This window comes from Homo sapiens, chromosome 15 (genome assembly GCF_000001405.40).
Source record: "Homo sapiens chromosome 15, GRCh38.p14 Primary Assembly".
Classification (NCBI taxonomy): domain Eukaryota; kingdom Metazoa; phylum Chordata; class Mammalia; order Primates; family Hominidae; genus Homo; species Homo sapiens.
Window position 1 is genome coordinate 59,128,997 of NC_000015.10, and position 13,479 is coordinate 59,142,475.

Genomic DNA, 13,479 nt, shown 5'->3' on the forward strand with positions numbered 1-13,479 from the left:
TGAGAAGAATGTATACTCTGTTGATTTGTGGTGGAGAGTTCTGTAGATGATGGTTAGGTCTGCCTGATCCAGAGCCGAGTTCTAGTCCTGGATGTCCTTGTTAATTTTCTGTCTCATTGATCTGTCTAGTGTTGACAGTGGGGTGCTAAAGTCTCCCACTATTATTGTGTGGGAGTGAGTCTAAGTCTCCTTGTAGGTCTCTAAGAACTTGCCTTATGAATCTGGGTACTCCTGTATTGGGTGTGTATATATTTAGGATAGTTAGCTCTTCTTGTTGCATTGATCCCCTTACTATTATGTAATGCCTTGTCTCTTTTGATCTTTGTTCATTTGAAGTCTGTTTTATCAGAGACTAGGATTGCAACCCCTGCTTTTTTTTTTTTTTTTTTGGTTTCCATTTGCTTGGTAAATATTCCTCCATCCCTTTATTTTGAGGCTATGTGTGTTTTTGTGTGTGAGATGGGTCTCCTGCATACAGCGCAATGATGGGTCTTGAGTCTTTATCCAATTTGCCAGTCTGTGTCTTTTAATTGGGGCATTTAGCCCGTTTACATTTAAGGTTAATATTGTTATGTGTGAATTTGATTTTGTCATTATGATGCTAGCTATTTTGCCCGTTAGTAGATGCAGTTTCTTCATAGTGTCCATGGTCTTTATAATTTGGTATGTTTTTGCAGTGACTGGTACCAGTTGTTCGTTTCCATGTTTAGTGCTTCCTTCAGTAGCTCTTGTAAGGCAGGCCTGGTGGTGACAAAATCTTTCAGCATTTGCTTGCCTGTAAAGGATTTTATTTATCCTTCGCTTATGAAGGTTAGTTTGGCTGGATATGAAATTCTGGGTTGAAAATTCTTTGAATGTTGAATATTGGCCCCCACTTTCTTTTGGCTTGTAGGGTTTCTGCTGAGAGATCTGCTGTTAGTCTGATGTGCTTCCCTTTGTGGGTAACCCAACCTTTTTCTCTGGCTGCCCTTAACATTTTTTCCTTCATTTCAACCTTGGTGAATCTGATGATTATGTGTCTTGAGGTTGCTCTTCTCGAGGAATATCTTTGTGGTGTTCTCTGTATTTCCTGAATTTGAATGTTGTCCTGCCTTGCTAGGTTGGAGAAGTTCTCCTGGATAAATAACCTGAAGAGTGTTTTCCAACTTGGTTCTATTCTCCTTGTCACTTTCAGGTACACCACTCAAATGTATATTTGGTTTTTTCACATAGTCCCATATTTTTTAGAGGCTTTGTTAGTTTCTTTTTACTCTTTTTTCTCTAATCTTGTCTTCTCGCTTTATTTCATTGAGTTGATCTTCAATCTCTGATATCCTTTATTCTGCTTGATTTGGCTATTGATACTTGTGTGTTCTTCATGAAGTTCTTGTGCTGTGTTTTTCAGCTCCATTAGATCATTTATGTTCTTCTCTGAACTGGTTATTCTAGTTGGCGATTCGTCTAATCTTTTTTCAAGGTTTTTAGCTTCCTTGCATTGGGTTAGCACAGGTTCCTTTAGCTCGGAGGAGTTTATCACCCACCTTCTTAAACCTGCTTCTGTCAGTTTGTCAAACTTGTTCTCTGTCCAGGTTTGTTCCCGTGCTGGTGAGGAGTTGTGATCCTTTGGAGGAGAAGAGGCATTTTTTGGTTTTTGGAGTTTCCAGCCTTTTTGTGCTGGTTTCTCCCCATCTTCGTGGATTTATCTACCTTTGGTATTTGATGTTGGTGACCTTCGGATGGGGTCTCTGAGTAGACGTCCTTTTTGTTGATGTTGCTACTATTCCTTTCTGTTTGTTAATTTTCCTTGCAACAGGCCCCTTTTCTGCAGGTCTGCTGGAGTTTGCTGGAGGTCCACTCTAGACCCTGTTTGCCTGGGTATCACCAGCGGAGGCTGCAGAACAGCAAAGATTGCTGCCTGTTCCTTCCTCTGGAAGCTTCCTCCCAGAGGGGCACCCGTCAGATGCCAGCCAGAGCTCTCCTCTATGAGGTGTCTGTCGGCCCCTACTGGGAGGTGTCACCCAGACAGGATACACGGGGGTCAGGGACCCACTTGAGGAGGCAGCCTGTCCCTTATCAGAGCTCGAATGCTGTGCTGGGAAATCTGCTGCACTCTTCAGAGCTCTCAGGTAGGGACTTTTAAGTCTGCTGAAGCTGTGCCCACAGCCGCCCCTTCCCCCAGGTGCTCTGTCCCAGGGAGATGGGGGTTTTATGTATATGTCCCTGACTGGGGCTGCTGCCGTATCTTCAGAGATGCCCTGCCCAGGAAAGAGGAAATCTACAGAGGCAGTATGGCTGCAGCAGCCTGGCTGAGCTGCAGTGGGCTCTGCCCAGTTTGAACTTCCGGGCAGCTTTGTTTACACTGTGAGGGTAAAACCACCTACTCAAGCCTCAGCAATGGCAGGCACCCCTCCCCCAACCAAGCAGGTAATTTCTGCGTTTCCAACTGAGGTACCTGGTTCATCTCATTGGGACTGGTTGGACAGTGGGTGCAGCCCATGGAGGGCGAGCAGAAGTAGGGTGGAGTGTTGCCTTTCCCGGGAAGCGCAAGGGGTCGGAGGATTTCCCTTTCCTAGCCAAGGGAAGCCGTGAGAGACTGTACCTGGAGGAAAGGTACACTCCGGCCCAGACACTGCACTTTTCCCAGTCTTCACAACCGGCGGCAGACCAGCAGATTCCCTGTGGCGCCTGGCTCGTCAGGTCCAACCCCCACGGAGCCCAGCAAGCTAACACCCATTGGCTTGAAATTCTCACTGCTAGCTCAGCAGTCTGAGGTCGATCTGGGACGCTCGAACATTGTTTTCTACGGGGGGAGTGCATCCTCAGCCTCCAACCATTGACTTAAAAACAAAAACCATAAACATAGTGAGTCTCGTATAAAAACAACTTCCCAAGACGTTGGTTTAACAAGATGTTAATTGGTGTTGTAAGAGAAAGGAGTTAGTTAGTCAAATACACTTGTGAAACATTGCAAATGATTGGAAGATTCATAAAGGTTCTGTGCTTTGCAGTAAACTCATTTATCTCAGTTATTTTCCCCAACCTAGAGTGTGGTTGCCTCTTGCTGACAGAGAAATTCAGCGTCTGCTCTTTTGATTCAGGTGCAGCTTGAGGACAACTGCCCCTGGGGAGGAGAAACTGGCTCCAGTTAGGGCTGGCTTTTTACTCTCTTCCTGGGCAGGCAGGACTGCCTGACTAGTATGTCTTTAACTGTAAGTTTTGGGTATCTTTATATGCTGAAATCCTAGTATAGAGTTTTATGAATATCCCTTATTGGGTTAGTGAAGCTTGTTCCCATGGCAGCCTTGGACAACTCTGATCACAAGTGTGAATGGTAACGAAGTGAGACCATGAAAGGGAGCTTTCCTGGCTCTGACAAGCAGTTACTTCCCAGAGATGCTTGAGCTCAACTTCTCTCCAAGAACGCCTGAGTTTTGTAAGCATATTCCAAAGACATTTTATAGCTTCCTTATTACATATTTTACTTAGTTAAATATTAAATGTCCTGACTTAGGAAATTCTTCCAGGATGTCATAAAAAAAGACCTTTAAGATACTTTCTTAGATGGCACAGCAGGCACCCCAAACTAAAATGTCATAAATGGGAAATGAGTGGCAGAAGTAGAAACCATATCATAAAAACACGGAAATTAAAAATGAGATGATGTATCCATAGTATAGAAGAGCACTAACTCTGAACGTGGGTGCTTTGGGTTTGATTTTAAGTAGTGGTGATCTCTATACTTTAGTTTCTGTACCTGTGAAGTGGGGATAAGAGTGTCTCCCTCATAGGGTGGTGCTAAGTAAAGTATGCCAAGCACTTAGTATAGCTTCTAGTGTGAAGAAGATACTTGAACATAGCTGTTAATTATTTTAAAGAGAAGGTTAATGGTCTTGGAAAGAGATGAATCAGAGGATTCAGATTTGTTAGATGGAGCTCCTGCCCATTAAAGGAGCTTACAAGTTTCTAGCTGTTGAGTTTTATGCGTGAGTTTTCTTCTCTCTCTCTTTTTAAATAGACTTTTATGTTCTGAGAGGAAGATATTGGAAGTTGAAAGGCTGACACAGTAGACCATCACATTACTAAATATCTGTTGAATTGGAGAAAATGATTAAAAGCACAGGCCTTTTGGGCACAGTGGCTCATGCTTGTAATCCCAGAATTTTGGGAGGCCAAGGCGGGAAGACTGCTTGAGCCCAGAGCTTTGAGACCAGCTGGGCAACACAGGGAGACCCCATCTGTACAAATAATTAGCCGAATGTGGTGGCACATGCTTGTGGTCCCAGCTACTTGGGAGGCTGAGGTGGGAGGATCACCTGAGCCCTGGAGTTTGAGACTGCAGTAAGGCATGATCGCACCACTGTTCTCTAGTCTGGGTGACAAAGTGAGGTGCTGTCTGAAAATAAAAACGCACAGGCCTTTGACTCAGAGTTCCTGTGATGGCTCCCCCAGGGAAGAACTGTGTGACCTTGGGCGACCTAGTGAACCATACTGAGCCAGTCTTCTTGTTAGAAAGGGTGCTCAGAGTGGAAAGGTATGATCTAGTAGGGAAAAAGACATCAAGATTAGTGGGTAGGAATAAAACCAAGTTACTAAATCCAGAAAGAACTGCAATCAATCAGCTAGGCCTTGGGAGAAAAGCAAAACAGGGAAAGAGGGCAGAATTGCAGAAAGGCTCCTCTGGTCTTTCTTTTGATCACAAAAGTGAGGGGTGCCAGAAACACAGAGTTAAATTGTCTACCAAAGACGCACCGTTCATGCTCTGCTCTTGATTGCCCTGGAAACCAGAATCCAGCCCTACTGCCAGTGAAATCTTAACTGGGACAACACCTATAAAAGAAATGGTAGCAACTAGAGGCACAGGCTGACTTGGTGTGACCAGCTCCACTCAGGGAGGGTCTGGGGATGAGTTCAGGAGGGAGTCGCAAAGAGAAGGAATTTAGATTATGTAAAAGCCATGCTCTATGGAAGCCCATGGAGTTTGTAATTCATAAAGGCACATCCATATTTTCTCTTACTCATTTTTGTGAACACTTCCACCTGGCAGGAGCCCGCTGTCACTCTGGTGCTCTGGGTAAGCTGCTGAGACAGCTCTGTGCAGAGACCTCCAGCCCCCTTGAGTTGAGGCCACATGACTAAGCTCTGGCCAGCAGAATATTGGTGGACATGGTGTGCACACAGGGCAGGTCCTTTAAGGAGGAAACTGCACGATGCTTTTCTACCTTCATTGGGCTGGACTTGGTAGTAGTGGGGAGTCAGGTTTGATTACGATGGGCTGGGACCACACGTTGGGAGGTCAGTGGGTTGGCATCCTTCATGGTTGGGGAGCAAGCTTATTCAAGAAGGCTTCACCCTTTGTCCTCTCCACATGTCTCTGTATTGTTTCACAAAACACTGTGGAAGAGACGGCCCTTTTGCATGTCTTTAAGCCAGTTGGCCAGGTACGGTGGCTCTTGCCCATAATCCCAGCACTTTGAGAGGCTGAGGCAGGAGGATCGTTTGATCCCAGGAGTTTCAGATCAGCCTCTCTCTGTCTCACAGACGGCCATCAGTAGAGTGGATACCACCCTTATACAGACCTCTGTCTCTCTCTCTTCTACAACTAAAGCTTGAACACCTCTACCCTAGGGTACACAGTCAGGCCTTCTCATTTAGTTCCTGGTTACTTAAAACCTTTGGTTGAAGGGATGTCACATTTTTATACTGTGTTTGATACTGCTATACACGTTGCTGTGTGTGCACATGAACACCCCTTATTTCAAACAGGATGGCAAGTTCCAGAAGGTGGGGGTGGCCCCTTGATCTTCTGTATGTTCTTTCCTGGTAAGTGACTCCTAAAGTGGTCATATTTGCTTAACTGCACAGTGAACAAAATGGCAGGCCAGGCTAGATCCACAGACTAGAGGAAACCCAGGTTAGTGTCTTAAAGGGAAAAAAGACATTTTTCTGAAGACTTTTTAATTAGGAAAAAAAGGGAAATGTTATTTATCCCAGATTTTTCTGGTAGTCCCCATGTTGAATTTCTAAATATATACAAATAAGTTTAAGATAAACCACTATTTCTCCAAACTTTTCTTAATAGTGTCAGCATTTCAGCATCTCTACGCAGATCTAAGTCTCCTTCCCCTGTGGGTCACTTACCTATTTCAGCACCATTTGTTGGGCATCTCCTTGAGCCTGGCACTGGCTGGGCACACGATGCAGGTGCTAAGGGCTTGGTCTGTGATTTCCATGGATGAGGGTGTTACTCGTGGGGGTTTAACTCAGTCCCTGTTTTGTGACCTAGAGCCCGATGGTTCCCAGTTACACACAAGTGTAAAATGCCAATCAATCAATCAGGAGGAAAAACAAAGGCTTGTCCCAGCCAGCCAGGGGCTTATGATAACAAGGGAAGATGGTCCTGGTGTTCCTGCCCTGAGAACGCAGCCTGAGTGCTGGTGGCTGTGGGGACTCCAGCATGCTCCTCTGTCCCAGTTCTGGTGGTATCTTCCTCCCACTGCGGGGAGTCCATGAATGTGAAAGTACTTTAGAGACCACTAGTGTCAACAGGATTACCTTTCCTCAACTCACCGCATCATGGCTCTACTTTCCTCTCTGGTCGCAACATGGAACTGAAGTAGCCTTTTAACATTATTCGTTACTGTTACAGAATGGAGTTTGCTCCCTGTTCTTGAAGTAAAACACAGCAGAATTAAATGTATCTTCGTTTCAAATCTAGATCAATTTTTTTCCCTTATACGTAAGCCCTGATAATTTTTTCCCATGGACTTGAGGATCCTGAAAGCCTCAAAGGTGTATGCTGCTCAAACTCTAAGTTACCAGTAGCTTAAGAATGGCTATGGCACCCAGAGGAGGAAAGGTAGAGAAATGGCAGTCTCTACTTACAACCATTCCATTATTGATGGGCATTACACTGATTCCAGCTTTTCACTATTATGGCAAGAAAACATTGTTTTAGTTTGTTAGGGCTGCCGTAACAAACTACCACAAACCGAGTGGCTTAAACAGCGAAATGTATTGCCTCACAGTTCTGGAGGTTGGAAGTCCAAGACCAAGGTGGGCAGGGCTGGTTCCTTGTGAGGGTGTGAGGGAGAATCTGTTCCAGGCCTCTGTCCAGGGCTTGTGAATGGCTGTCTTCTCCCTGCCTTTTCACATGGTCTTTCCTCTGGCATGTTGGTCTCTGTGTCCAAATTTCCCCTTTTCATCAGGACACCATTATATTGGATTAAGACCCACTCTAATGACTTCATTTTAATTAGTTTTGTTTGTTTGCTCCATAAAGACTCTATTTCCAAATAAGGTCATATTGTGAGGTACTGGTGGCTGGGACTCCAACATCTTCTTTGGAGGCACACAATTCAACCCATAACAAATGTCATAAAAGAAGAAGGTGTTCGCCGATTCCTTTATTTATTTAGGAGGTGGGGGCAGGACGCGGAGTAAGTTTCCTATAGGGAAAGAGTTGAGAAGAGTCTGCAGGGACTGACCTAGAAAGCAGTGACACTCCGTAGTTGGAAAAAAGCAGAGCACATCTTTAAGTACCTGGTGTGAGTTTTGTAAGAAAACCTACCTTATGAATGAGTACAGTGGAATACTACTTAGTACATTCATACATGTTTCTACCATCTCAAGATTTTTATATATACAGTATATGATCTGTTTTTATAAATGTACAGCTTGAAAAAAGATCCTTCTTGTAGTAAGTACAGCATTTAAACACAAACCAATATGGGCCAGCCACATTCTAATTGAAGACCCAGAGAAAGCAAAGCCAGCAGCCCAGCCCCCAGCCCCCAGCCCCTGACCTGCTTGGCGGCCCTGATGGTCCCGGCAAAGTGTAAACCAGTGCCCCTCTGTCGCCCTGGGCTCAGCAGGCCAGCTTACCCTTGGCACGTACATGGGAAGTGCCTGCTCACGCTAAGCCCAGTCTGCAGAGGGCGGGTCCTCCCTGAAGGAAGGTGGCAGAGAGGAATGTGTCTATCAGGTATGGACAAGAGAGATGAAAGAAATGTGCTCTTCAACTAAAGGCACTTGTCAGCGGCCACCTACAGCCATTCTCTAGGCCTGGTGAGCAAGCAGGGTGCTGTTTTGATAGAAGCCTACAAGGTCTGAGCAGACCTCACTTGTCCTCTCACCAGGTTTAAATACAATAAATAAATCTTAATGCATGGTGGTTTTGTCCTCCTGGGTTCCTATGAAGAGGCTACCTTTTAGGATCACTTATGGAGTGATACTCCCTGTCCCCAACCCAGCCTTTTCAGTGTCCTCCATGGGGAAGGTACCAGAATAGCTCCAGGCCTTGGAGAAGCAATTGCTCATTGTGGATTGTAAGGGGAGCCCCTAAATATCCCCTCCCCTGGTCTGTGCCTGGAGCTCCTCTGCCCCATGTGTCAGAGTCACGGGCACCTCAGATCTTGGTCACATAGTTGTTGGGGAACAGGCCCTGCTTGCCTCGTAGTCGACCCGTCCACCAGCCAGAAGGATCTGCAGGGAGAGAGAGGTGGTGGAAGTGAAGATGAGAAAGTCTGTTCTGCCCCAGCCACACACACTCCGCTCCCATGGGCTCAAGTGATTTGGCTCCATCCATGTTGTTTTCCCTTTGTTCTTTAAATCAAAAAGTTTGTTGAAAAAAGTAAGATATCTACCAAATTAATAAAGCACTCAGCCAAGCCCATGGACTGCTTTAATAATGGATATTCAAGGTTGTCTTCCTGGCTTCCACTCCATCCACTTTCATTATGAAGAAGCCAGGAAGTGTGGGTGGGACAGACCTCCCCGTTTCTGGGGACAGCCCCTACCAGGTCTCATCCTCTCAGGGTACAGCCTTTGTCTTGCTACTGAAGTTGGTTCAGGGATGGACACATGGCTAATTTGGTCTGATCAGAATAAAAGTCAGGACTTTTGTCCAATGACTAAGAACAGAAGTTTCAGAGATGATGCACATTTCAGACATGGTTTGATATGTTGGCCTGGAATTGCTGCTGCCGTTTTGCTACCATGAAGAAAAACAGCTTGACAAGGGAGGGAATATAAATAAGGGGGCAGAGCTGAAAGAAGCATTAAAAAAGCTGGTGTCTTGATCAGACTGAGCCTGAGGCCTGACCTGCCTCTACAAATTGCAGTTTGAGGAGCCCATAAATTCTTTTCATTTTCACACTAGATCTTACAGCAATGTGACTGCATGCTCTTTGGGAGGCTGTCCCAGCCAACCAGCCACACACTTACCTTCTTTGATAATATCAATAATGTCATTGGCATTAAAGCTGAGTTCGTCTGTGTCCTGAGCGTCATAGGCATACAAAGCCTTGCACTGTGGCACCTGAGGCTTGGGCTTGGGCTGGGGCTTGGGTCTGCCCCCTGCTGGGGGAGGCCGACTGGTTGTTTGTCTCCTGACCCTGTGGAGAGAGTGGAGCAGATGAGACTGGGCCCCAACAGGGGGCAGCAGCACCGAACGGTGGTTTGGAGCATGGCGGCCGGCACTGGCCTGTTCAAGTTCAAATCCAGCTCCATCCTTAGAAGACATGTGGCCCAGGGTGCAGTCTTTAAACTTGAGGAATAAAAGTAACTTTTCTGACAAGGTTGTTGCAAATGCACATAGCTCTTAAAAACCTTAGCTGCTGTTGTCACTGTGTCCCCAGCATAGAAGGAAATGTGGGAGACACATATCCATAAAAAAGTGTCAAAAGTATACCCATACATTTAAATCAGGAACATTCAGGTATCTGTCCCTCCTTCCTCAAGTTTCGAAATGGAACTTTTGCAGGTGCCACAGAAGCCTGTAGGCATTTCTCCTTCACTGCATTCCCCCCAGATTACCACCACCTTACAGTTTGTATTAACCATTCTCTGGCTCATCTCTACAGTTTGCCACACATGTAAATACCCCTAGCCAATATTTGTGGTCCGACTGTCAACTGTATGAAAGGAATCATATTCCACGGTCACATGCTCAACAACTGGATGACGTGCCCTGCTGATGCCTGCAGCTATCGTTCCTTCACCCTTGCTGCCTGATACTACACCACTGCGCGAGTGAGTGTGTCACAGTTTACTTCTCCAGGGCACTGTGGATGGTCACTTGGGATGGTTCCAGTTTTCACTATTATAAAAAATGCTGCCATGAGATTTGCTCCCCATTCACAACCTTATTATGCCTCAGACCTCACTCCTGTCTACTCCCATCCCATCTATCCACCCACCCTCATTACTCCAGAGACTTCCCTCCCACCAGTTCATTATTACTCCTTAGACTTCCCTCCCATCCCTCATTATTACTCCTCACACTTCCCTCCCACCCCCTCATTATTACTCCTCAGGCTTCCCTCCCACCCCCCTCATTCCTCCTCAGACTTCCCTCCCAACCCCTCATTATTACTCCTCACACTTACCTCCCACCGCTCATTGTTACTCATCACACTTCCCTCCCATCCCTCATTATTACTCCTCACACTTCCCTCCCACCCCTTCATTATTACTCCTCACTTTCCTTTCACCCGCTCATTACTCTGCAGACTTCTTTCCCACCCCCTTATTACTCTGCAGACATCCCTCCTACCCCCTCATTATTACTCCTCAGACTTCCGTCTCACCTTCTCATTATTTCTTGTCAAACTTCCCTCCCATCCCTCATTATTACTCTGCAGACGGCCCTCCTACCCCTTCCTTATTACTCTACAGGCTTTTCTGCCCTCTCATTATTACTCCACAGATGTCCCTCCTACCCCTCATTATTACTCTGCAGACTTCCCTCCTACCTCCTCATTATTACTCCTCAGACTTCCCTCCCGTCCCTCATTATTACTCCTCACACTTCCCTCCGACCTGCTCATTATTACTCTGCAGACTTCCCTCATACCCTCATCATTACTCCACAATCTTCCCTCCCACCCCCTCATTATTAATCCACAGACTTCCCTCTCATTTTATCAATCAGTTATTACTCCTCAGGTCTCCTTCCCATTCTTTCATTATTACCCCTCAGAGCTCCCCTTTGCCCCTCCAAAAATGTTGCTGTAAATATTCTTATACAAGAGTTTATCCAGAGCAGTTTCTCAACATCTGCACTACTGACATTTGCGGCTGGGAATTCTCTGTTGTGTGTGTGTGTGTGTGTGTATGGGGGTGGGTGCGGGAGGCTGTCCTATGCCCTGTAGGATCCCTGGCCTCTACCCACTGGATACCAGTGACACTCCCTTCACCCCACTGTCATAATTATTAAAAATAACTCCAGTGCTCTAACCCTAATCCAGATCTTCTAGCTTTAAAGTTATTCTTCCTATATACTATGCTGCCTTAAGTCACCATTCATACATTCTTTCAAAGGTGTGTAAGTTCAACTTGTTCCTATTTAGTGAGATCTTTACACTTATACCTGAAACATTTATTAAATATGTTCATAAAAAGCATTTAGCAAAAACAAAAAGGAAAACGGAAACATGGAGAACATTTCTTTTTTTCCACTTCGCTTAAGGACAAACCAAAGTAAAGGCTACATTCATTTCCCTACAAAACAAACTTAAGATTTCTCCCTCAAGAAGTTGGGCTGGACCTCAACAGGGTGGGGCTGGCTGTTAGGTCTGTGCACATCATTCACACCTACAGGAGCAAGGAGGAAAAGGGAGGGCCTTCCTGGGGCCTGAGTTCTGGAAAGAACAACCACACCCAGTTTTGAGCTGTGCTCTCAGGAGCCACAGCCTGCTGGCCTTGCCCAGGTCCTGTGATGACAGATGTTCATGGGGTGCTGATGAACAACCTGGATCACAAAGGGGTGGCTGGGGGGAACACTGACTGCCAGCAGGGTGGTGGACTGTCCCCAGGAGGGGCTGGGCGCCCCTGAGACTCGGCTTTTACACCACCCCACGTGGGAGGGAGCAATCCTCAAGGCTACTCAGGCTCCACTCCTCCCACCACCACCACCCCCCTGCACTTTTCTCTTAGTGCAGAGGAAAGGCATTTTGTAGGTTCTTAGTGTGACATCATTCGTTTTCTACCTAGTGCCTACTGGAAATCCCCATTCCCTGTTCAAGAAGTGCTTGCTTCTCTGAAAGTTGGCCAGGCGAGCAGGTTTTTAATTAAGCACCCTATATATTGGGATGTGTCAGCATTTGGTTAATAAGAGCCATTAGCCTGGATACCAGACGTCATGTGACTTCTCAGCAACAAGGAATGAAAGGGGATGGCGGCGGGCATTACAACACCCTGGGAGGGAGGAAGCCTCCAGCCTGGCAGTCCACAGAACTGGGCTACAAGTGCACATGGAAGGACACAGATGCACACATGTGCACGCACACACACCAAAAACTCATCCCTATCTCCCTGGGGGACTGGTTCCAGGACTCCTCACAGATACTAAACTCCACAGACACGTCCCTCATATGAAAGTGTAACAATTGCATATAACCTATGCACATCCTCCTGTATACGTTAAATCACCTCTAGATTACTTATAATACTTAATATAATGTAAATGCTATGTAAATAGTTGTTATACTATATTGTTTAGGGAATAATGACAAGAAAAAGGCTTTTTAAAAAATATAGGACTGGCTAGGCATGGTGGCTCACGCCTATAATCCCAGCACCTTGGGAGGCCAAGGCGGGTGGATCACCTGAAGTCAGGAGTTCGAGACCAGCCTGGCCAACATGGCGAAACCCGTCTCTACTGAAAATACAGACGGTAGCTGGGCGTGACGGTGCATGCCTATAGTCCCAGCTACTTGGGAGGCTGAGGCAGGAGAATCGCTTGAACCCGGGAGATGGAGGTTACAGTGAGTCGAGATTGAGCCACTGCACTCCAGCCTGGGCCACAGAGTAAGACTTTGTCTCAAAAAAAAAAAAAAAAAAAAAGGCTGGGTGCAGTGGCTCACGCCTGTAATCTGTAATCCCAGCACTTGGGGAGGCCGAGGTGGGTGGATCATGAGGTCAGGAGATAGAGACCATCCTGGCTAACACGGTGAAACCCCGTCTCTACTAAAAATACAAAAAATTAGCCGGGCGTGGTGGCGGGCGCTTGTAGTCCCAGCTATTCGGGAGGCTGAGGCAGGAGAATGGCGTGAACCAGGGAGGCGGAGCTTGCAGTGAGCCGAGAGCGTGCCACTGCACTCCAGCCTGGGAAACGGAGTGAGACTCCATCCCAAAAAAAAAAAAATTTTTTTTTTAAGTCTGTACATGTTCACTACAGAGGCATCTATCCATATTTTTTCTGAATATTTTCATTCCAAGTTTGGTTGAATCCACAGATGTGGAACCCATGGGCACAGCGGGCCAGTTGAACCCACAGATGCTAATTTGTCCTGTCTTGTTCAGGGAAAAACCCTAGTGTCCTTAGTGTAGACTGACAAGGTCTCTGGAGCCCAAGTATGGGGGCTTAGATACAGGGTCCTCCTGCTGAAGGACTCCCCTCGCCAGGGTCGGGGTAAGACCTCTTAGTGGGAAGACAAGACGGATGGCTCCTGAGAGGTAAGACCCTCCCTGCCCTGGGCATCACCCACTTGTTCTGCCCCA

General features: G+C 46.4%; 1 protein-coding gene across 1 annotated transcript in view, besides 2 other annotated features; it reads right to left on the minus strand.

Annotated features, from left to right (window-relative positions):
* Nucleotides 2,440–2,939: an enhancer, noted in NCBI's record as "H3K4me1 hESC enhancer chr15:59423635-59424134 (GRCh37/hg19 assembly coordinates)". NCBI's record gives its function as "activates a minimal SCP1, AML or CMV promoter by ChIP-STARR-seq in naive H9 embryonic stem cells {active_cell/tissue: H9 hESC(naive)}" and the evidence as "EXISTENCE:reporter gene assay evidence [ECO:0000049][PMID:30033119]".
* The window catches only part of MYO1E (myosin IE), a 240,438-nt gene continuing 230,396 nt past the window's right edge, over nucleotides 3,438–13,479 (minus strand). Inside the window, exons 27-28 of the mRNA NM_004998.4 lie at nucleotides 9,202–9,371; nucleotides 3,438–8,460 (exon numbers count right to left, since the gene is read on the minus strand). Coding sequence (NP_004989.2) covers nucleotides 8,384–8,460; nucleotides 9,202–9,371 — 247 coding nt within the window. The 3' untranslated portion in view covers nucleotides 3,438–8,383. The remainder of the gene's footprint in view (nucleotides 8,461–9,201; nucleotides 9,372–13,479) is intronic.
* Nucleotides 9,214–9,508: an enhancer, noted in NCBI's record as "tiled region #4265; K562 Activating DNase matched - State 5:Enh, and HepG2 Activating DNase unmatched - State 12:CtcfO". NCBI's record gives its function as "activates a minimal TATA promoter and a strong SV40 promoter by Sharpr-MPRA in K562 cells, with weaker activation in HepG2 cells {active_cell/tissue: HepG2 | K562}" and the evidence as "EXISTENCE:reporter gene assay evidence [ECO:0000049][PMID:27701403]".